Source organism: Homo sapiens, chromosome 2 (genome assembly GCF_000001405.40).
Source record: "Homo sapiens chromosome 2, GRCh38.p14 Primary Assembly".
Taxonomy (NCBI): domain Eukaryota; kingdom Metazoa; phylum Chordata; class Mammalia; order Primates; family Hominidae; genus Homo; species Homo sapiens.
Genome location: NC_000002.12, coordinates 176,173,143 through 176,197,008, shown reverse-complemented (window position 1 = coordinate 176,197,008; position 23,866 = coordinate 176,173,143). Strand labels below are relative to the sequence as shown.

The following is a 23,866-nucleotide window of genomic DNA, read 5'->3' as shown; positions in this document are numbered from 1 at the left end:
ATATAGAGAATACTTAGCAAGTAAGTTATCAGAGTGTTCCTCACCTGGTAGAAAGCACTTGATGAGTAGCACTGTAAGCTTTGATCCACATTCAACATTCAGCAAATGGTATAGGACCACTATTATGTATAAAATACTCAATGATAGATGAAATATACATATGCCCATGCAAGGGGAACTAATGATAGGGGAAGAAAGGCAGAAAGAGAAAAAGACCTCTCATAATATGGCAGGAGATTCTAAGTGCTTAAGCAGGTAATACAAACAATAAATACTACAGCAGCTCAGAGGAGTCAGCTTTAAATTTGGATGATGTAAAAAAAAGGTTTTATAGAGGTGGTGAGGTTTGAGCTGTGCCACAAAGGATGACTTTGGATAGGCAGAGAGAAAGTAGACGTATGAGACAGGAATGATGTGAGAAAAGGTTCAGAGGCAGGAAAGCATAAGTTTCTTGCAGGGAGTATAAACAGTCCACACTAACTGGGGGTAAAGTTTGTGTGTCAGGCAATGGTGGGAAATTATCAGGGAAAAGATGGCTGGATACAGGTGTTGAGGGCCTTGAATCCCAAGCTAAAAACATCTGAGTTTCTTCTACTTGCTACCAGCAGCTACTGAGAGTTCAAAGTGGAACAATACAACGAAAGCAGGGCTTTCAAATGGATTGACTGGGAAGAAGACTGGACGCAAGGAGACCAATAAGGCATCAGTTGCATTGCTGAATGAGAAATGATAAAGACTAAGCCAATGGAGAAGGAGAAATAGAGTTTGCTGACTAATGGAAAGAAGGAGAGATTTGTTTATCCATATTTCTTTTCTTCGACAGAACGGAGCATTCACTTCAGAATCCCATTTATCTGAAAGGAAGAGAAAAGACTCAATATGACTTCTCTATTCTGAAAGTTGTCAACTTTGAAGTATGGAATTAAGGACAAGGAGTTTGAGAATCCAAATAGAAAGTGCTGACACCATTTGAAAAATCTCTTGTTAAGATCTAGTTTATCTATTCAAAGGAAAGTGGTCTTTTTGGAGGCTCTCACCATCGTTAGCTTTTAGTTCATCAGGTAGACAAATGAGGAACATTACCTAGTTCACATATACATATGCACATACACCCAGATTCTAAAGCCAGATAATTTTTTTTTTTTTTTTTTTTTTTTTTTTTTTGCGACGGAGTCTCGCTCTGTCGCCCAGGCTGGAGTGCAGTGGCGCGATCTCGGCTCACCGAAAGCTCCTCCTCCTGGGTTCACGCTATTCTCCTGCCTCAGCCTCCCAAGTAGCTGGGACTACAGGTAACCGCCACCACTCCCGGCTAATTTGTTTTTATATTTTTAGTAGAGACGGGGTTTCACCGTGTTAGCTAGGATGGTCTCGATTTCCTGACCTCGTGATCTGCCCGCCTCGGCCTCCCAAAGTGCTGGGATTACAGGCGTGAGCCACCGGGCCTGGCCCAAGCCAGATAATTTTTAAAGGTCTCAGAAATTACTTCAATCCCAGCCTCTCATTGACATTAATCTTACAGAGCTACAGTACTACTAAATACTCTTCAGTAATAACCAGCACAGTAAAGGATTGTGAAGAAATGCTAAGGTGATAAGGGAATGTAATGATCATCCAGACCAACCCACTTTGTTTTATAGGAGAATCTAAGACCAGGCAAGCTATTTTTCCTTTTAATCAGAAAATACAACTGGTACTGAAATCCAGGTCTCCTCCCTTAAGAATAATGTTCTTGGCCAGGGGCGGTGGCTCACACCTATAATCCCAGCACTTTGGGAGGCCGAGGTGGGCAGATCACGAGGTCAGGAGATCGAGACCATCCTGGCTAACAAGGTAGAAACTCTGTCTCTACTAAAAATACAAAAAATTAGCCAGGCATGGTGGCGGGTGCCTGTAGTCCCAGCTACTCAGGAGGCTGAGGCAGGAGAATGGCATGAACCCGGGAGGCAGAGCTTGCAGTGAGCTGAGATTGCGCCAGTACACTCCAGCCTAGGCGGCAGAGCGAGACTCCATCTCAAAAAAAAGCAAAAGAATAATGTTCTTACTGGGTGTGACAGCGCATGCCTATATTCCCAGCTACTTGGGAGGCTAAGGCAGGAGGGTCACTTAAGCCCAAGAGTTCAAGACCAGCCTGGGCAACAAAACAAGATCCCATTTCTAAGAAAAGAAAAATAATAATGTTATTTGTTCAGGGTCCTTTACTTCAGCCTCAGTGGTTCCATCCTAGGAAATGTTTAGACGCTAACAATGTGGCTGCATTGTCTCCAGCTATATCTTTCTCTTCTGTTTATATCTTTGAGAAGAAAACACAACAGAAGGGGACCTCTAGGATGAGATAGGGTTCCCATTCTAAGGCAGTAGAATGGGAAAAGCCACTGGCTAAAGTCAGCCACCCAGTAGCCCAGAAGAGCACAGTGAGATTGAGATGCTAAGAGAGTAGAACAGAGTGCCAACCTGCCCTTGTCCCCATTATCCACTATTTGATGCATTTGAAGAGAAAGAGTGACTCTGGCTCTAAGATGTTAGAGAAAAGCGATCATTGCTATTATCTCATAGGCAATGATGGCAGTGGAGAAAAAGTGATGGTTTCAAGGAAGGGGCAGATATGAATTTACTATGAGCCCAGTGAAATGTAAACTTCACTAACTTGAACCATTCCACATCCTGGGAATTTTGTATTAACAATTTTGTATTTTTTTCCTTAAAGAGGTTTCCCCAAATTGTATAAGCTTAGGCTCTACAAAATCCCTAAGAATTCAGTGTGCTGAAGAGTCCAGCACCTTCTAGAAATGCCTCAAAAGTGTCAGTTTTAATAAACTTGTAATAGTTTATTAGCTATGACAAGTCCAAATGACTACTCTTTGGCCCTTCTTTCCAAAATACATCAGTAAGATTTCTAGAAGGAGAAGAGATTATGTTGAAATCTTTACAAGCTAAGTAATAGACCTTCCTTTCACACCAATATTTAGGATTTTCATCCTCTTGGTTCATTATTGAATCTAGTTAAACAGTTTCTATAGAAATTTTATTTCTGAATAACAAGTACAACGTAATAAGCAATTACAAATGAGATGTTGAAATAGAGTTATTTTGCAGATTTGTTGCATGTTCATGACTTGAAAACATTAGATAGAGGTAAAAACCATGAACATCTTTGTTTCTATTTAGACGGATATTTATCTTCGTGAGATATGTCCACTATGGTTTTACTTTAAAACCACAAATAAAGTTTTAACAATGGGCATTTTTCTTGTTGAGAGGTCTGTGGTCAGACTAAACAACTCTCGGAAACTGATTAGATCCTGAGGTTTTCAAATTCAATATTCAGCAAATATAGATCATTTCTTTGGCCATAAGGAATAATTAAGAACTTCAGAGCTAATGCAACTCTCCTGAGCCTGCTTCTGTTTTTTTTGGATGACACGATAATCAGACAGCCTTTTCTGGTGTTGGTCCTCACCATATTTGAGATTGAGGCAGCATAAATCACACACAATTAATCTTTTGAAACTCTAGGTGACATTGCTTTAGGTTTTTATATCAGCAAAGCCTTCATTTGCTAGTACTCAACTTATGGGAATTTTATATATTATTAAGTGCTTTCCTTTTCCTCACTCCCAATTATCCTGATCCAGAAAAGTAGACACATGGTCATTATGTGAAGACAAAGGAACATTGAATAGTTAATTATACAACAGCCAGAACTGTCCACTGTGTATTCATCCTTGTAACAGATCACTGGAGGGTAAATTAGCATATTTAGTTTGAAATCTTGTAAAATAGAAACGGGATTGTTTGAGTAGTTGCAGTTTACATAGTAACCTCATACTTCATGGAGATCTGACTCAAAATAACACAAGGCTCAAAATAATAGGAAAAGGAATGCTCTGTAAATGATCCACATTGCCTAGGTACCTCCACTGACAACATGTATTTGATAGTGTCTAAAATCCTCTTTTCCTGTATAAACACAGTATCACTGTAATCCTAGACAGCACATTTGCTTTCTCTTAGAGCCTAACTCCCTTCAAATGATAGGTCTAAAATAAAATATGCAGAAGTCATTAAATTGTAGCATTTTCATTGTTGGGAGGGACCTCCAGAGGTCACCTAGTTCATCCCGATCTCCAGCCAGGACTCTTCCTAATACTGAATATAGCTGTACAGTGATCTGCATTAAGAAAGCTTTTAAAGATCCCTGGGGTTGGGCAAAAAATAGCTAATATTGGCCTGATTCATAGAATAGCATTATACGAATGTCATAATAGCCACCTTCATCAAGGAAGACATCCATCAGGGCTAAGTGCTAGTACTAGCTTCAGAAGGAAAAGCTTTATTTTCTCAGAGAAAAGGGTGGTAGATTAAGGAAATGACCCAGCATGTTGGTATTTTGTTGTTGTTGTTGTTTAGGTGTACATTTAAATGCTTATCAAAAAGGAAACATTGTCATGTCAAAGACCACTGCAGGGGAAGCCCAGAGGTGGCTGTAAGCAAGCAGATCACAAGTCCTTTAACAAGTTCTTTCAAATAGCAGTAGAGCTCAGAGGGGGGCTGTTGTTTCAAACAAGATTCAATTAGCATCAAGTTATTAAAGGGCAGCCGGGGAAACAAGAATAATATTGACAGACCTGCTTTTTAAGCAGTATCTTTTCCCTCTAATCAGCTGAGTTTGTTGGAGCTGATCATTTTATTTCTTCAACTCCATTCAACTATAGGTGCAAAGAATGAGAACTTCAGTGTAACTCCAATTTTCTAAGAGAACTAATCATATTGCTGCTTTATAAAAAAGGTAATCTTTCACAGTTGCTTAGATTTATGAATAATTAGATTTAAAGCATTATACTGGAATCTAGAAATCTAGCTAAAAGAGCTGAGGTTCTTATCTGAATTATTTGGGCCGTTAGCCCTTCTGTTGAACTATAGAAAGAACTTAAAGATATAGTTGTAAAATAAGGACGTACTCCCCAAAACTGTCCCAAGTATCCACTTGATTCTGTATCTTTATATTGCATCTTTTTCTCATATTTCTGCAAGTTTACATAAACTCTGGTCAACTATGAATGCCTCCCGGGATGAGAAATGGGAGTTTGGGTGAAATAGATTAGAGAATAGGTTTTGGGGTTTTTTTTAACCACATACTCTCTTGTCAACTTTCAAGTTTTGTGCTTGTACCTCTTCCAAAGTATTCATTTGAAAATATTTCATTTTTGAAATCAGAAAGGCACTGTCTGTGCTCTCTCTCCGCCAGATACTCAGTCTGGGTTACAGGAAGTAGAAATTTGTGACTACTAGCCTTTCCCAGCCTCCTTTGTAACTCTTGACTTTGGAAATGGGAATTCAGCCACTGAGAACTTTTTGATGTGCAGCTGCCTTTCTCAGGGAACACTAACCAAGAAACAAAGTCTTCAGGTCACCTTTCCTCTTCCTTTTGTGAGGACAGGAGACAAAAGAACAAGATCTCCCTGAAGTGTCTCCTTGGCTTTACAACATTCCACAGTAGGCACCTAACACTTGAGTTAAATGTGCAGACTACACACCTACCATAAAATTAGGGCACTCAAGGTAAGGAAAGTATTTCCATAGTTACTTGGATATTTGGCAGAGTAGTTTTCTCTCTTAAACTACTAATTGCCCATAACTTGCTGGGTGTGTACACAACCTGTAGGAAGTATTATTTTTAAAAGTTATCGGCTGGGCGTGGTGGCTCACGTTTGTAATTCTAGCACTTTGTGAGGCCGAGGTGGGCGGATCACCTGAGGTCAGGAGTTCGAGTCCAACCTGGCCAACATGGTGAAACCCCGTCTCTACTAAAAAAAATACAAAAAATTAGCTGGGCATGGTGGCTCATGCCTGTAATCCCAGCTACTGGGGATGGTGAGGCAGGAGAATCACTTGAACCTGGGAGGCAGAGGTTGTGGTGAGCCAGAATTGTGCCACTGCACTCCAGCCTGGGCAACAGAGCAAGACTCCGTGTCAAAAAAAAAAAAAAGTTATCAACATAAACAAATTCTCATAGCAGAATCAAGAAAATTCAAATACAGGAAACTGAATCAACTTTAAAGAAAGAGAATCATTATTAAAGAGTGTAAGAAAAGCAGAGAGCAGCAGATTCTATAATTTTTATTACAAAAAAAACCCTTTACATGCTATGACATTAAATGTCACTTATAAGGTCATTGCAAGCAAATCTTTTTAAAAAATATACATACTGTATATATTTACATTCAAGTTTGAATAATATTTGTCAAGATATAGTTCAGATTCTACTCTTTACCCATTCTGTGGATTTGTTCATCTAGTAACTAAACAGCGATTGTATCATCACTCAGGCACATAGAGAGGTAGAAACCGCTTTTTTAAAGAAAAAAAAACTGGAGTGCAAATGTGAAGATCACTGAAGCAGCTTAGCTACATCAAGGAGACCCTAACTAGCTTTGGTCATCTCAAAAAGCTGAATATATGTAGCCTTGTCCTTTAAATTAAAACCAGAAAAACTTTGGGCAGGTGCTCTTCTGAGCACATCAGAGTGCTGACAGAACTCAGCAACTAATGGTCTGCCACTCTGCAACGCGAATTGCACATGACTAAGTGAGGCAAAGATAGCAGCGGAGCTGGGCTGGCAGCTGGGCACCTTTTCCCTGATAAGACACAAATCATAACCAAACAAGTGGCTTACAAGACAGTCAATTAATATCTGGACATATAGTCTGGAACTCGGAAGCCAACTAAAGTACTTCATTTCCCAAGTGAAATCCCTATTCATTTTTGTTCTCCCACCTCCATCCCAAACTGAGCTCCTAAGTCTAGATAGGGATGGGGGTCGCCTGGGACTTCTGCAGGCCACAGTTTTTCGGCCCCAAGTACCGGCCTCACGAAGGCTCTTGGGACTGAGAAGGGCTGCCGGGGTTCTTGATAAACTTAGTGGGGGTTGTTCCAGAGAGGGGAAGTTGGAGGGGAGCCACAGGAATGGCCGTGGCCAGAAGCCCTTCTCGTTCCCTTTTCTTCTGTTTCATCCTGCGGTTCTGGAACCAGATTTTGACTTGCGTGTCATTCAGGTGCAAGCAGTTGGCTATCTCGATGCGCCGGGCTCGAGTTAAGTACTTATTGAAATGAAACTCTTTTTCCAGTTCTGTCAGTTGCTTGGTGCTGAAATTCGTGCGGATCGCGCTGGAGGGGCTAGCGGCCCCATACTCGGCGAGTTTGCCTGCAACGTAAAGACAGGGCGTCAGCCAGGCCTGAGGCCGGGGACAGAATGTGGGTGAGCAGTGGAGCTAGTTAGAATCAAAGTCCCAGCGCAGCCCTCCTGGGTCCCTAGGAACAGAATTTGTACCAGGAGAAGTTCCACGGAGAGCTCCTTCCTGAAATTTTCTCAATGCCTGGCACATTTTCCGAATCTGTACTCGAGGCAGACTCCATGGAATTCGCCCGGGAACGCGTCTCCTCCACAAAACCCAAACCGCTGTCTGGAAAGGCAGCGACACCACGCTCCCAGCGCATTTCCGCGGGGGAGGCTCCGTCCCCAACCCCAGGTGGCCCCATCCAAGGCCCGCGGACTTACCTTTCTTAGAGGCATTCCTCTTCACTTTCATCCACTCGAACGTGCTGAAGGCGGCAGGGAGGCCGGAGGCGGGAGAGACGGACTTGGGGTAGGTGCCTGGGGCCGGGGATGCGGTCTGGAAAGCACCAGGGTGGCCGTCGGCTGACGCTTTGAGACAAGCCGGAAAAGGGCCGGGTTCGCCGAAGGCCGCGTAATCCACCTGGCCGCTGAGGAGGAAAGAGCCGCCGCCCGAGAAGACGGCCGAGGTGGCGTAGTGGACGTGAGACCCGCCGTCGTCGGCCGCCCGCCCCAGCACGCCCGGGAAGTCGTACGCCGGCCCGGACCCCAGGAAGCCGTAGTCCGCGCCCCCAGCTGCCGCGGCAGGTGCGGCACCAGGTTCGTAGGCCCCCTCCAGGGTGCACTGCGCGTACTGGGGCGCGGCCGGAGGCGGTACGGACGGCCGCGCGGGGGCGGCCGGGGGCGAAGGCGAGGGTCGGGCGGCGGCCAGGGGCAGACAGCTGACGAAGGCGCCGTCGCCGTTGCCCAGAGGGAAGGCGGGCTGCAGAGCCACGGGCCGGGCGTCGGAGCGGCAGAACTTGGGTGCCAAGCTGAGCACGTCGCCGCCGACCCCGCCGCTGCTGCTGCATGACACGTACTCCAGGTAGGAGCTCATGGTTCGGGCCCCACCTTTCTGAGGGCGCAGGCCGGGGCCGGAGTACGGAGCCGGGCAGAGGCTGAGCAGGACTGCCGCCGTCTGCGCCGCTCCGCCAGCCCTCTCTACCCGAGCTGCCCTCTCCAACCCATGGCGAGTGAGCCGGAGGTAAATAGTGGCCTAATATACCGGCGGGGGCGGCCACGTGGCGCTGGCCGGCCAATGGGCGGCCTCTCCGCTCGGCCCGGTCGGCGCGCCGCTCCTCGCGCCTGCCCCGCAGCCAAGTTAGCCAAAGCAGCCCAGGGCCGCCGCCCAGCGCCCCCGAGCCCCGAGGAGAGCCGTCGCGACCGGGGGCTGCCTGGGCAAGGGCGGGGCGAGAGGGCAGAACGCCTGCTCTCGGACAGGTATTGGGCGAGGTGGGGGGAGAAAGGCAGGACTGGACGCTTGGGTGAGGGCCCGTGGATGCAGCGGGGCGAGCCGCTTCTGCTCTGGATCGTGGGGGGGGCTAGTCCCTCGAGGGCGGAGTGTGGGCGTCGCGGCATGGAAAAGGTTAAATGGGAGCGTGACGCGCGGCCGGTGGAGACTGCTCTTCGCCCACCTCCAGGACAGATAAAGTTATTCCTCTTCCCCTCTTCTGAGTCCTCTGCGCTTTCGGTTTGCTTGGCGCTGATGTTATCCCTCTTCTAAACCTAGAGCAGATGTTTGGTTTTTTCCTTTCTTCCCCCTTTCCTAGGACTCATGGAACTACATCTTATGCTGTGAGTGCTGTGTGCCTAGGGCGGGACAAAATTTTCACTTTTTGACTAGGCTTCCTTTTAACGTGACTTTGCAGCTTTCTTCTATCCCTCGCAATTTGTGGCGGCGTGATGAGGGCCAGTGTTGTAGTGCCAGATTTTGATAAAGTTTCTGCCTTGTGGGGTGGTTTAGCAGATTTTCCCCTCCGGCTGGGTTGTTGGAATAAAGAATCCAGAGTGGTGGTGGAACACTCCTTATGCTCCTTTCTGGGAGACTGGCACAGGCACCGGTGCGGCGCTTGCTTTCACTGAGGAGCTTGTCTGGAGGGCGCAAGGGCTTACCGGGGACGGGTGAGATCTCAGAGGTTTAGATGGACTTGTACCTCGAAGCAATTAGAGCTTCTGCTCCATCAGATAAGTGCTGCATCGTCTCTTGTGAGTGAAATCTGAGGGCTCACAATGTTAATGGGCTCACGTCTTTCCCTTGATAATATGGTTTTGTTTACTGAGTGTAGAGAGACGGGAAATAAAAGTGCAATTGCCACAGGAAATGAAGAGTAGAAAGGTTACAAAGACCAGCTTTACATTGACAAACTTTCCAACTTCCTTTAGTATTTCTTTTAATGTTCCCTTTTGAGGGGACTGTAGGAAAATTACAAATTAGATAAATAGAGGTTATTTACACACAGTAGTTATGAAAGAGGGTGGTTTCCTAAAACCCTGTGTGAATAAAGACTCTAAAGAGTCTACTCAGAGCTTATATCAAGTGCCCTTGAAAAGTTAATCTATTACAGCCTCTAAGTTATGGTAACCGAGGTTTTATCATTGTTTTACTGATTGACTTGTCATAAAAGAGCGATTGAGCTGTTGTTGCCTAAATTTCCACTCTGAGGAAGTCTTTAGAATAGGCGCCATCACAGCCCAGGGAGCCAGTTCCTTCCAGGGTTGTGGACTTGTGAATAAACAAAGCCCTACCAAAATGTGGACTACTGATGGACCCGAAGTTGCTGCAGGATGGGGGAGGGATGTCCCCAGGTTGAGGGGAGCCAGTAGAGGGTGGATGCCTAGGAATCAGCACAAAGTTAAAGAGGTCTGTGGTTCCTGCACTGCTGGAGTTCTTGAGTTTGATTGGAAATGGAATACCTGTGCTGAAAATAGCCCTTCAATCTTGATTTTGCTATTTCAGTTGTGCTATAGCCAGTCAGATAAGGTCCTAAATAATTTTTATTTATTTATTTATTTAATTTTTTTTTTTAAGTGCAGTGGCGCGATCTCGGCTCACTGCAAGCTCAGCCTCCCCGATTCACGCCATTCTTCTGCCTCGGCCTCCCGAGTAGCTGGTACTACAGGCGCCCACCACTATGCCCGGCTAATTTTTTGTATTTTTAGTAGAGACGGGGTTTCACCGTGTTAGCCAGGATGGTTTCGATCTCCTGACCTCGTGATCCGCCCGCCTCGGCCTCCCAAAGTGCTGGGATTACAGGCGTGAGCCACCGCGCCCGGCCCTAAATAATTTTTAAGAAGAGAAAAATAAAAGTTCTTCCCTAACACCCCAGTTAGGAAATGTTAGAGCTCTTCAGAGCTAGCTCAGCCTTAAAATGTAGACACGTTTCTTCACTGCTCTCCTGTGCCATTTATGCAAAAGTAACAGCAAATAAGATGCTGCTGAGTTCACAATGCCCCCTCCTCCACCTCTGGCTAGATTTTAATAGCCAGTTTTTATCTGCAAGATGTCCCAGCTCTCACAGTGTTCCCTCAAATGATACTTATCCTATCACAACTCCAAAGCCTAGAGGCCCCATGGGTCAAGAAGGAAGGATGACTTTGTAAACCTCTTTGGGGAAGACATCCAGCCGGCTGCAACCCAGGGTTTAGGGCAGAAGAGTCAGCCTGACTGTCCGGCAAGTCTGACCAAAACCCCTCAAATTAAGGGCCTTTTCTCTAAGGTTTCAGAAAAATCAGGCTGCCTAGGTGTCCTGGCAGCTTTCATGGCAACAAAGACTAAGTTTTTCCTCCTGGGCATTTGGGGCAAAGGCTGGGTCCTTCATGATATAATTAGGCCTTGACTTTAATGCACCCATGAGCTATCCACACTAGCTCCATCAAGTAAAATTTTGGAGATTTAGCCTTTCTGAGGGAAGAAAGTGCCCTAAAAAAGAATGAAGTTTTTAAAAATACTGTTTTGTTTTGTTTTGTTTTCACAACTGTGGGTGAGAGCGAGGGAGAGGTGTTCAATATTTGTTCAGACCCAATAGCATTTCTTTGATAATCGCATACAGAAAACTACATTCTGGCTGGGCACGGTTGCTCACACCTGTAATCCCAGCACATTGGGAGGCTGAGATGGGTGGATCACGAGGTCAGGAGATCAAGACCAGCCCGGCTAACACGGTGAAACCCCATCTCTACTAAAAAAAATAAAAATAAAAATAAATTAGTGGCACACGCCTGTAGTCCCAGCTACTTGGGAGGCTGAGGCAGAAGAATCGCTTGAACCCAGGAGGTGGAGGTTGCAGTGAGCCAAGATCATGCCACTGCACTCCAGCCTGGGTGACAGAGCGAGACTCCGTCTCAAACAAAAAGAAAGCTACATTCTGTTCACCCTTCTCTCCACTCCCTTAATCTCCAAATCCTTGGCATATCCCACACCTTGGGGCTCAGAGTTAGCATCTCCATTCTTGGACTGGTTCTTGACTTGCTCAGGTTGGAAGTCATGACTCTGGTCATCTCATACTCAAATTCAACAGATGTTTGCCAAGGATTTACTATGTAATGACATTTTGTTAGGAGAAAGTTAGGCTAGGGAAAAGACAGTCTTAAACCAAAGGAGCTAGAGATTTATTTCTGACACAGGTTTTAGCTATACTATAAATCTACTCTAGAGGAATCTTAATGTATAATTATCTAAGGAGAAATTGGAAGATATTATTGGGGAAATATAGAAAGATGTGAATATAGCATATTTTGAGTAACATTAAAGTTTGTCTCTTAGATGTTCACCAAGTATGGGAGAAATGTCTTACTAATTTTATTACTTGTCAAGCCATGAATTCCCCAGGGTCACTTGCTCTGCTGGGTCCTGGTGCTGAGTTCTCCACGGGAGGTGACAGCAGAGGGGCCCAATTGCCAGCTTGTGTTTGATGTAGGAATGCTTTGAAATCTCTCCCATCCTGCTCACCACAGCAGCCACCCCCTACCCACTCCCTATCCCTTTCATGACTACCTTTCTCTCCCTTTCTAATAACTAGCCTCTTTTCTGCAGACAGAAGTGATAAAGGGTGGCAGTCTGGTTTTCTGTGTGTTTATTTTATTTTATTTTATTTTTGAGATGGAGTCTCGGTTTGTCACCCAGGCCGGAATGCAGTGGCACGATATTGGCTCACTGCAACCTCCACTTCCCGGGTTCAAGCGATTCTCATGCCTCGGCCTCCCAAGTAGCTGGGACTACAGGCACATGCCACCACACCCAGCTAATTTTTATATTCTTAGTAGAGACAGGGTTTTGCCATGTTGGCCAGGCTGGTCTCGAACTCCTGACCTCAAGTGATCCACCTACCTCACCCTCCCAAAATGCAGGGATTGCTTCTGTGTGTTTTAAGTTGTTTTCAAGAAGCTCCGGGTAAGCCCTCTAGACAAGTCCCACTGTGTTACCGCTTGGAGGCACTTGAGCACATTGCAACGCTTGGCTTCCTAACCCCAAGTCACAGAAAATCTTGTTTGTTGGGGTAAAAAAGGGTGGGTGTCTTTTTTTTCTTAATCCACATTAAGAGAAAGTGAAGATTAAGATGCAGTTCTCTGTAGCATCCCTCAGTCATCCTAGGATGGAGGTAGGGATGCAAAGGAGTCCTAAGGACAAGAATTCTAAACCTGTTGGAAATCTGACAATATGACATTCCCTGAGGAAAACCATTTAAAGTGCTGTGCCTTTCCCTGAGAATTTTGTGAATGAAAGGCTTACTGGTCAAGCCAGTGATTGACACATGGAGGCATTCAAAAGTGTTTGTTGGACGTAAGCAGAGTGGACAGAATGGTGTGTCTTTACCGTGACTAATATTGGCTGAAGGATATCTTTAGATTGTTGCCTCCCAAAACCACATCAGGTGGGTAGAAATCACCATAGAATCTTGTTTAAAAGTTCAGGTTTCTTGAGTCACCCCCAGAGATTTTTACCTAATAGTCTGACTCAGGAATTTTTTTTTAATTTTTGATTTTTTCATAGACACGAGGTCTTGCCATGTTGGCCAGGCTGGTCTTGAACTCTTGGGCTCAAGTGATTCACCCACCTCAGCCTCCCAAAGTGATAGGATTGCAGGTATGAGCCACTGTGCCTGGCCTAGGAATCCTTTTTTTTTTTTTTAACAAGACTTTTGGGTGATCCTAAAGCAAGATTGTTTGGGACCACACTTTGAATAATTCTGCTGTAGGAGTTGGGGTGGGAGGGGGCCGTGTGGGAAGAAAGGAGATGTTCCTATGGGAGGGACCATGAGTGATGAGAGGTCATGGCTAGCTGGCACATGAGTATACCTAAAAAGTGTCCAGAGGTTTGTTGGGTTGCAGAGAGGTCAATGTCAAGGTAAAACTTAAGTCTACTTCGGCTGAAGTTCTAGAGCATATCCTTAAGAAGTGGTCAGTTGGAAGTTTCCCAAGTTTTGCTGACCAATTGGTGCTTTGCAGAGACTGGGCTCACTTCTGCTTCTTGCCACTTCCTTACCTTGGCTTTGATGATGCCAGTGGGGTGGGAAGAGAAAGAGATTTGTCTCTCCCAGTCTCTTCAGAGAAAATTTAGAGTGGTTCTGAGGCAATGGGAAGAAGGAAGGAGTGAGAATGGGCATCTGAAGAGAGAGGACTCAGCCTTTTTTTTCTTCCATCTCTCAAATTGGAATATGCCTTTGAGCCCCAGGGATCCAGAGGGGGCCAAATGTCCCTTAGCCTAAGCAGTAACTCTTTCTCTGGCTAAAGGCTGACTTTTCACAGCCTAAGATGTCAAAGCTAGAAAACACCTTCCAGATAAGCTAAATCAAACCCCTAATTTTAGAGAGGAAGTCACTTTACTCAGAGGTTAAAAGGCAAAGCCATCCTGCAAAAAATGGAACCACCTTGGGTCTCGTGACTTTCCACAGTCCATTGCCTTTTCACAGTCTGCAAAGAGGAAGAAATATAGTAGCTACTCCTTGGCATTGTGGCAGGCCTCCATCCCAAGCAAGCACAGCAGTGTTCAAGAAGGCACACTCATTTCCGGGAGGCCACACAGTCAGTGGTTCTGACTGAGAGGCCTGCTGCTCTGCCAGACTTCTGTAGCCTCATCTTGAGTCCTCCTAGAAGAGAGGGTAGAGACAGACCTGTGACCCCAGCACCAAGCAACAGTGAAGAATCCCCTCATTATCGTTGAGGTTGATCAGCATCAGGGCCCTGGGGGAATAAAACAAGAGGTATCCCAAGATTAATTTTGCTGGATAGAGCAAGTACAAATAAGGACACATATGAACACACACAGGCACACCCAGGTCACTTGTACTAAACATTTTTTTGTTGTTGTTCCTTTATCATTTTAGTCAGGGTGAGTAATGGCATTGTTTTGTTTTGTAACTTTTAAGTTCAGGGATACATGTGCAGGTTTGTTAAATAGATAAACGTGTATCATGAGGGTTTGTTGTACAGATTATTTCATCACCCAGGTATTAAGCCTAGTACCCATTAGTTATTTTTCCTGATCTTCTCCCTCCCCGCACCCTCTGCTCTGTTCCTTTTTTTTTTTTTTTTAATTTTTTTATGAGACAGAATCTTGCTCTGTTGCCCAGGCTGGAGGGCAGTGGTGTGATCTTGGCTCACTGCAACCCCCACCCCCTGGGTTCAAGTGATTCTCCTGCCTCAGCTTCTGTGTAGCTGGGACTACAGACTTGTGCCACCATGCCCAGCTGATTTTTGTATTTTTAGTAGAGATGGGGTTTTACCATGTTGGCCAGGCTGGTCTCGAACTCCTGACCTCAGGTGACCCACCTGCCTCAGCCTCCCAAAGTGCTGGGGTTATAGGTGAGAGCCACTGTGCCCGACTTCTTTTATTTTTTCAAAAGAGTAATAAATTTAAATATGCTTGCTTCAAGATTCAAAGGGTACAAAGGGGTATACAGTGAAAAGTCTTCCTCCCACTCTTGTTCCCAGCTACCTAGTTCCCCTTCACATAAGCAACCAACTTGTGTATCTTTACAGAGACACTTTTTACTAGCATAATTTATATATATGTGTGTGTGTGTGTGTACTCCACAGGTTTTTACACAAATGGTAGCATGCTAGGCAGACTTTTTCGCACCATGCTTTTCCCCCTATTGTATCTTTCAGACCATTCCATATATATCCACACATAACTTCCTGGATTTGTTGTTGTTGTTTGAGACAGGGTCTGACTGTGTCGCTGAGGCTGGAGTGCAGTGGTGCAATCATGGCTCCCTGCAGCCTCAACCTTCTCGGGGCTCAGGTGATCCTCCCACCTCACCCTTCTGAGTAGCTGAGATTACAGGCATGCACAAGCACATCCAGCTAATTTTTGTATTTTTTGTAGAGATAAGGTTTCATCTCTACAAAACCAGGCTGGTCTCAAACTCCTGGGCTTGAGTGATCTGCCAGCCTTGGCTTCCCGAAGTGCTGGGATTACAGATGTGAGCCACGGCGTCTGGCCCTGGTTTACTTTTATAACTTCATACTGTTCTACTGTATACACCTGCCACAATTCATTTAGCCATTCCCTGTTGGTGGGCATATAGCTTGTTTTCAACCTTTTGCTATTACAAACACATGGTCAAGCTTTTACCTATTAGAAAAATTTGTAGAAGTGAAATGATTTAGTCAAAAGATATGTGCACTGTGAGTTTTAATACATTTCTCCACAGAAATAAATTAATTTATACCTCTATCAGCAATATATGAGAGTTCCTGTCTCCTCACACCTTTGCCAAGTCAATGGGATGTTGAAGTTTTTATGTTGGCCAATCTGATAAGTGAAAAATAATACCTTTTATTTACTCTTATAACATCTCCCAAAATATCTCTCTTCCTTATCTTGAGCCTTTCATAATTCTGTATTACAAATGATAATACTAACACAGAAAAGATAACCAACTTGCTGTAATCACACCCGGTGTAAATGGCCAAAGTCAGATGTTCAGCACTCTTCTCTATACTACACCATTCCACACAGGGCTCAAGGAGGTTCAAAAGAGAGTAGGTGGCTTCAAGCATTCCCTGAAAGACACATGATATTTTAAAAAAAAAAAAAAGCATTGAAGCTTTCTGACATCTGCTAAAAGACCTCTTTAGTGGTTTGATACCAAGAACACATTACTGCATGAATCCTCCAGCAAGTACCGCTCTTGAAGGAGAGGGCTCTGAATAGCAATTTGATCTGACCTAGTCCTAAACATTAGCTTGGATTCAATATCTAGGAAGCAGTAGGATGTTGTTGTTTTTAATTTCTCTAAGACATTTCTCACTGGACACCCAGGATCTAAGTATTCATCAGCATGGTGTGAGTGCGGGTGTGTTTTTCCTAGGTTTTAGCTTTATATAGAACACTCACTTGGACCTGGTGAAGATACCAATATCTAACACGCATTCCCATACAACTCTAATGATAAGCCTATGAGGTAGATATCTTTATTGACTCTTTCACTGATGAAACTGAAGTCCAGAAAGATTAAGTGGGTTGCTTAGGGCCACACAGTGTATCAGTAGCAAAGCAGAAAATACAGTGTAGACTGCAACCGAACTCATTAGATTCCTTGCAAAGCCTTCTCTTCTCCCTCCTCTATTCATTTTAGTGAATGACGTGACTCAGTCCCTCAAATCTAGAGATTAACATCCACAACTCCTCTTTTACTCATCCAATTGATCACTAAGTCCTGTGAATTCTACCTCTAAATGTCTTTTCTCTTCACTCTTGTTACATTAGTTCCTCTCTCTGCTGTGTTGTTGCGGTTGCCTCCTATTTTGTTCTTCTTGCCTCGTGTCTCTCCTTTCTCCAATCAGACACAGCATCCCTGAGTTAGCTTCAAAATACATAACTTCACATCCCAGCTTAAAACCTGCAGTGGCTCCCCAGTCTCTAGAGAGTAGGTCCAGACTCCTTCACGTGAACCCTGTGCAACCTCTCTTTTCAGCCAGGATAACCACACTCCAAAGTACTCTCCTTGTTCCAAGCCCAGACTTTGCTTTTTCCTCCCTCTTTGCTTTTGCATGAGTTGTCCTCTCTACCTGGTATGGCTTCCCTTCTTGGCCTGAAAAACGCTTATGTTTCAGGAACCCGAATTCACCTCCTCTGAAACTATTTTTTTTGACATTATAGTACTACTAGTGGCTCCTTTTTTATTAGAGGAACATTTTGACCACACCTCTGTTATAGCACCTGTCATATTGTTTTAAGATTATTTCTCTTCCCCACTAGATTGAAGAGCATACACCATCAGTGACTTGTCTTTGTATCCCAGAGCCCAGCACAGTGTGTATAGGAGCTGTTCACTAGAAATTGGTGAAAGGCAAGGAGGAGGAACAGACTGAACCAAGGACAGCAGGACCAGTAGTTTCATTGCTCAGTGAGTTCAGGACACTGTGTGAGGCTTAATGCTTCAGCTTATATCTATCTGAAGCAAGATGGTAGAACATTTTTCCAAAGCAAGTTAATTTTCCACCCAAGAGGATGAAGGGAGAGAAGGCTGAAGGAAGAGGGGGCAAAGCTGAGGCTTTCTTTCCTTCAGGGACTATTTTCTGTGGCCTGAGGCAACACATTTACTAACTTCAGAAACATCTCAGCTGAAGTCCCGCAGCAAAAAAGGGTAAAAGGGGAACTAGGCTGGAACCTTGTTAGGATTTACAAAGAGAACAGCATGACCACTCCAGAAGGGTTATAAAAATGCTTCACCACTAACTCCACCAAACCCTCCTGCTGTAAACAGCTCTAATGCTAGTGACTACCCTCAGACACTTACTGTCTATCCCTTTAGGGTGTTCTTAAAATACACCGGAAAGAACGGAGGTAAAAATACTGGAGTGTTTCCTCCACACTGGAAAGAGGTGAGTCATATCATTGTGATTGGTGTTTTAAGTATATTTTTATTGTTATTTTAAATGGCATTCAAGTTTAGCTTCAAGTTCAACAGCAGTCTTAGCCTACTTCCTCCCACACAAATACTCCTGCCAGTAAATAGGCACTCTTAAATAAAACAGTGCCTGCAAGAACCTTCTGACCCATTGAAATTAGTCTTGCCCTGTCTTCAGAGGTGTATTCGTCCCTCTCTGGGTGTAGAGCGGTATTTAAGGGTGACACTCGGGCACGCAGGAGGTGTGGCAGGGGGCGGGGAATGCAAGGTCACTGTGGCTCAGGGGCGGGTGTGGGTGCAGGCGCGTTGGGAGGACCCTGGGCGCCCTGGGAAGTCCGAGGGCAGGCGGCAGGGCTGGCGGGCAGCAGTGCTGGCTTCCGACGTGAGGTGGTGACGGCGGGCCCTGCGCCCAGGCCCTGTGCTGCCGACCGCTGTCCTGGCTGCGCAGCTCCCCAGCAGGCGCCGGGCTCAGGTCGCGCCTTCAGTTAGCGCTCAGCCTGCGCTACTGCGTCTCCTCCGCTTGCGATTTCTGGTCGGATCCCAGCTGGCCCAGACTTGCTCTGAAGTAGGAGGAACCGCTGTCGAGCGAAAAGTGCACACCGGGTGATTGATGAACTCTTAATAGAACTAACCTCTCCTGCCCCCAACCCTAGACACACACAGAGAAAACCTCCACCCCAGCCCCTTCTCCAGTCCTCCTCGCGGGCGAGAGGGGACGCGGCCGCCAGCCGGTAGGGTGATTAACTCACCGTCTGTCTTTGCAAAAGTGTTCCAGGTGGATCAGGAGCGCCAGCCCACCCCGCCCGCAGCCTGGCCGCTCGCTGAGGCGCGGAGAGCGCGGAACGAGCGCGCGCATCACGTGGCGGCGCGGACGTTTGTGCCGCGCGCCCGCCAGACCGCCCAGGAGGCGGCGGCTATTGTTCCCCGCAGGGGCCCGGGGCGCCCTGAAACGGGGTCCACGTCAGCCCGCTCCCGAGCGTGTCCTCAGGTCTAAGGACGGGTGGGGCTTCCTTTGTGTGTTCTCTGGAAGGGGCTGGGATGGCGTCGTTGCTGCCCCAAGGGGTAACCGAGGGGGATTGAGGGAAGATGGTACCAGCTCCCTAGAGCTCAGCTCACCAGACCTACTCTTCCGCTCGACCCTTGCAGAGGAGGTGGGGACGGATATGGTATTTGTAGGGCAGCGCTGTGAACAATGGAGCCATCAAAAAGGCCTTCTCCCAGCCTCCTCACCAACCACGGACATTCCTGGCCCAACAAGACCTCCTGGCCAGGTTTTGAGCCCTGCTTCCCAGGTAAAAACACTGCCTGTACCAGAGCTCTCCATGAATTTTGGTTTAAATTAGGATTTAAATTCTTCTGGCCCTTACTAATGTTAAAACCCAGCTTTTATGATTTCTCCAGGTAGTATTCTTTCCTTAAAATAATCCAGACTAGCTATAGGAACCAATCAGGACATTTTGCCCAAGATCTAGGACAGAAAGACTCATGCAGTAACTCCTGCCTTACAGATCTGGGGACCCTTCACCTGCCTCTACTACTGCAAATGATTGGATATTCGTCTGACTTGGCTCTTCCCTAATGTGTGGAACTAATTTTGTTCACTCTGTTTCATGCTGGACCTGGCCTGAAAATGGGCCCTTATATTGTCTTTGCACTTTCCAACTTGCCAAGGTAGGTGTGAAACCTGAGGGAAGTTTTTAGGAATAGGCTTTAGGCCAGGTACTTAAATCCATTTGTTCCCAACCTTGGACTCCAAAGATAAGGGCATTTGTAGCTGGAGTAGAAAAGAAGGGAACAATGAGAACTAAGATTTCATCCTCTGTGATGATTCTTATCATTCACCGTCCTTCCTCTCCAGCATCACCAGTGCAGAAAGTGCAGAGGACTTATGTACCCAATCTTTTTTTTTTTTTTTTTTTTTTTTTGAGATAGAGTTTCACTCTTGATGCCCAGGCTGGAGTGCAATGGTGTGATCTCAGCTCACTGCAACCTTGCCTCCCAGGTACAAACGATTCTCCTGTCTCAGCCTCCCAATATACCCAATCTTTCTCCTTTCTATCCAGGCCTTCTGCAAGAGAGATCTAAGAACCAGCCCTCAAAGATGGTAAGGGCTTGGCTAGTGACAGCCCAGTCTCAGCTCCCTGTGCCCAAAGTGTCGGAACAGGGCCACTCAACCCAAGCCCTACATATATACTCTGGGAAGTTGCAGTGCCTCGAAGTGATCAGGCCATAGTCCTGTGAAGACTGGGGTCATCCATGTCCCTTCCTGCCTACTCACAAACTTCTGTTCTTCCTATTCTTTTCTTTCAGTTTCTGAAAGAAGGACCAAAGTAATGCCAAGAACTCCCAGATGAAGAGGACCTTCCTTAGACCTATAACAGATTCACTACTTGACTTCAGAGGGAAGTTTCAGCTAATTCTCAGGAAAAGGTCAAAACAGGCCTGTGACTGTCCCTTGAATACTGAAGGTATAAACAAGCTTCTGGCTCCTCCAGGTCAAGCAGAGGAACACTTTTATTAGAATGAAGGGTTACTTCTTTGTTATTCAAACACACACCCACACACATCCTCTGTAGTCTCCCTAATGAAAAACCTCAACAGATGGAGAGCCTGAGCTCCCAAGTCCGCAGGCTGAGAAGATGCACTTCACTCAAGGGCCAGTGGGCTGGTACAGACTAGGGAAGAGAAAAGGGACAAAGGCTGCTAGTATAGGTAATCACTATCTTTTAATACTCCTAACACATAGAAATTCGAAAAATCTTGTTCAGCAATGTTAGCAGCCTGTGAGCCTCGGAAACTAATTTGGCTGATGTGTCTCTGATAGGGAGCTTGGGGCTGCACCAAGGGGAAACATTCTCCTCCTGTATTCTCTCCTCTCTCTCGTTTGAAAGCCTGTACAAAGAAATGGTACAAATGGATGGTTAACTTAATGATTCCATCAGAGGCAGATTTTTCTCTGTCAGGTCCCTGGATAAGGTGGAGGTCTGAAAGCCAGGAGACAGAATATGTACTTAATCGCCCTTTCTGACCTGCTTACCAGTGACCAGGACTACTCTCCAGGCCTTTCTTCTGCCACTTCCCCATTCTTCCTGGCTAGTTCAGTTGGGTCTCAGCACTTCAACTCCTGGCTGGATCCTGAGTTTTTCTTGGTTGCAGGGAAAGCTCTCACTGTCTGCATCTCCTTCCCCACCCCCACCTCCCGTTTTGCAGCTGGCCATTCTGGCTGCCTCACAGCTATCCTGCCTTAATTCATATTTGATTGCCTGGACAGAACCACCTAGAATGTCCAGACGACTGCCACCCCTCAGCCATGGGCCTGAGATCCTGCCCTGACCCCTTTCTTCAGACCCCAGGAGGACCCACAATCTCCCTGATCCCCACCTTCCCCAAAGTAGTCTCTAGGAAAAAAGCAGAGCTGGCTAAGGCCTGAGACAGAGCCATTTCTTCCCCTTGGGCAAACGAGGTAGACCCTCCCAGAGACCAATGCCGGAGAGGCCCGGATCCGAGCTCCCTTTATATGGCCTCCCCCATCACGGATCCCGTGGGAAAACCTGACACACAATGGCGCGGCTGCTCCGGGCACCCTCAACCCAGCGCCCTGCGGCAAGGCCTGGAGCAGCCTGGTGGTCTTGGTGCGCTCCCTTTGCCCTCCCCGCAACCCTCTGCGAGCACTCGTCCCAGGAGAGAGACCCTGGCTAGGGTGGAGGTTGCCTCCCGCAAAGGGCGCTGTTGCTGGGGCCTCCCCTCCCCCATTCTCTTGTTTTTCTGCTTCTGAGACTCGGGAGGGAGGCGGCAGGCGCCTCCGCAGCCGATAGAGCAGCTATTGTGACCTTCCCTTGCAGAGCGGGAACCCAGCCGAGTGTGTACCGCCGGCGGTGGCGGGGGAGGAGGCGACTGTGTGTGCAAACCTCAGTCGGAGAGGGGGTGGCGCTGGGAAATAAAGGTTTGCAACCTCAGGCAGTTGGGCCCTTCAGAGGGCGTTTGGTTGTGTTTAGACTCGGTTGCTTTCTAACACTAATTGCAGGCTCAAAAGGAGCGGAATTTATTGCGAAGGCCAAGGCGGCTTGTTTATAATTTATGAAGTTTTAAATGGCTGTGCCGCGGGCCCCAACTTTCTCCTGGGCTGGCAGCCGCGCGGAAACGCGCCCTCCCCCGGCTCGCCGCCCACCCCCACCCACGCCCCTCAGATGAGTCTCACGCCAATGGCAGGAACAGATCCGAGCTATTAGAAGTCTCGGGAACCTCCAGAGATGACAGAAGGTGGCAGATTTGGTCCAAGCCCTCACCCCACTCGAGAGGAGGGCGTCGGGGAAAGCTGTGGCTGCCTGGAGAGGGAGCCCCTGATCCCACACTTCCTTGGAGCCTGAGTGTGAGAGGAAGCTAATGTCAGCCGGGCTAGACACCGTTTAAAGTCTAATCCATGAAACCCTAAGCCGCAAATGACACTTGGGGCTTTGCAGACACCCGCAGACTCAGCAGATACTCCTGCGGTAACACACTGTGCTGGAAAACGCCTGGAGCCATGACACATTACGTATTTTTATTATTATTTATGGTAGGAAGAGGAGATGAGGGAAAATCGGGCTGAATCTAAGCAGCCTGACAATTCAGCTAGTTAATATTTAGCCAGTTAAGAAAGGTGGTTGTAATCCCTGCAAGGCAGTGAGCTCTCCTTTGATTTCTCTAATAGCTTAAAAAATAATTTCTTACAAGACAATTAGAAATTCTGCCTATGGATGCAAATTTCATAGAAAACAATGTTAAGCCTTGAAAGTGGGTAAAATGTGCCTTCGATTGAAGTCATTTATTCTGTTGATACACTTCTACAACATATATATTTTAAACCTGCTCAGATAAAGTGAAATTTAGCAAAAGGATATCCCCTCCCACCCCCAAATCTAACATGCCATTTTAAAAACAGCACAAAGGAACAAGGAAACTAAATATTATTTTGAGCCATCATTACTTAGTGAAATACAAACATCCAAATAGAAACGATTGTTGTTCCACCAGAAGATTAGAAGTTAAATTATTTCCACACAATAGGAATTTCACTTCGTGTCATCGGGGATGTAGTAGGAGTTGCATTATTTGTCAAACCAAATAGAGATGCGTGGGCTGACTTTGCTGAAATACAAAAGAATTGAACCTTATCTGAAGGCGTTTTCTAAGTGGCCCCTCCCATAGAAGCCGGGAAGTTGTCCACCCCTAGCAGAAGCCACATTAATATTTACAAAATGGTTATAAATCCTTGAAGACATTTTTGCCCATTTTGTATAAGAAACAGGAGTAAACAAGGTGTTTATACTTGTTATGTTTCATTAATGAAATATTATTACTTTACATCTTGGGGAATGTTTGTTTTCTTTAGAAATGAACTAATGATCACTACAAAGGAAGAATTCATGACAGCATTTCCTAGAGAAAAAGCTTAGGTACGCGTCTCCAAATGATGGTTTCTTTTTCTACACCTTAGCTTTTTCATAGCTCAATTCTTCTTACAACTTCTCTTGTGTTTTTTCTTTGATTGTCAGTTTTCTTTCAAAGTTTATTTTTTGTTACTTAATGCAGAAAAGTGAGCTCTGGTCTCCCCAGTGTAAAAGTCGATTGTGTCTAGAAAGAAGGCAGTAAAAACAGCAAAGCAGGCGCTGCTTTCAAAAAGCCCTGCCCAAATCATCCCGCCCAGAACCTTCTTAGGTTTGCATCCTCATTTCCCCCTCCCCTAATTTCAATAGCTGGAAAGTAATCAAGTATCCCGAGAACCAATTTATGCACTAGACTCCAAATAAATAAAATATTTTTTTCAAAGTGTCAGTCTGTTTCGGGGCCTTCCATGGGGATTGTGCGAGATAAAGGCATA

General features: G+C 45.9%; 1 protein-coding gene, 2 long non-coding RNA genes and 1 other non-coding gene across 16 annotated transcripts, besides 2 other annotated features; 1 reads left to right on the top strand and 3 right to left on the bottom strand.

Moving 5' to 3' along the window:
* Positions 4,199–4,739: an enhancer, noted in NCBI's record as "OCT4-NANOG hESC enhancer chr2:177056998-177057538 (GRCh37/hg19 assembly coordinates)". NCBI's record gives its function as "activates a minimal SCP1, AML or CMV promoter by ChIP-STARR-seq in primed H9 embryonic stem cells {active_cell/tissue: H9 hESC(primed)}" and the evidence as "EXISTENCE:reporter gene assay evidence [ECO:0000049][PMID:30033119]".
* On the bottom strand, positions 6,102–8,341 carry HOXD1 (homeobox D1). Of its 2 annotated transcripts, XM_047444086.1 has the most exons (3): positions 7,556–8,341; positions 7,328–7,460; positions 6,102–7,201 (listed from the first exon to the last, which is right to left on the bottom strand). In XM_047444086.1, the coding sequence occupies exons 1-3, from the start codon at positions 8,205–8,207 to the stop codon at positions 7,174–7,176; spliced, it is 813 nt and encodes a 270-aa protein (XP_047300042.1). In that variant the 5' UTR covers positions 8,208–8,341; the 3' UTR covers positions 6,102–7,173. The 2 variants fall into 2 exon arrangements, with proteins under 2 accessions (XP_047300042.1, NP_078777.1); NM_024501.3 differs by lacking the exon at positions 7,328–7,460.
* Positions 8,051–23,820, top strand: HAGLR (HOXD antisense growth-associated long non-coding RNA). Of its 12 annotated transcripts, none has more exons than NR_110460.1 (5): positions 8,437–8,590; positions 17,911–17,980; positions 19,183–19,298; positions 19,515–19,677; positions 20,317–23,820. It is a non-coding gene; the product is annotated as an HOXD antisense growth-associated long non-coding RNA (long non-coding RNA). The 12 variants fall into 12 exon arrangements; NR_110459.1 differs by having other exon boundaries at positions 19,153–19,298; NR_110465.1 differs by lacking the exon at positions 19,183–19,298.
* On the bottom strand, positions 8,108–8,166 carry MIR7704 (microRNA 7704). The gene has a single exon (NR_106991.1). It is a non-coding gene; the product is annotated as a microRNA 7704 (primary transcript).
* Positions 18,000–18,843, bottom strand: HAGLROS (HAGLR opposite strand lncRNA). The gene is made up of 2 exons (NR_110457.1): positions 18,756–18,843; positions 18,000–18,584 (listed from the first exon to the last, which is right to left on the bottom strand). It is a non-coding gene; the product is annotated as an HAGLR opposite strand lncRNA (long non-coding RNA).
* Positions 18,652–19,446: an enhancer, noted in NCBI's record as "H3K4me1 hESC enhancer chr2:177042291-177043085 (GRCh37/hg19 assembly coordinates)". NCBI's record gives its function as "activates a minimal SCP1, AML or CMV promoter by ChIP-STARR-seq in naive H9 embryonic stem cells {active_cell/tissue: H9 hESC(naive)}" and the evidence as "EXISTENCE:reporter gene assay evidence [ECO:0000049][PMID:30033119]".
* Positions 23,821–23,866: the final 46 nt, after the last annotated feature.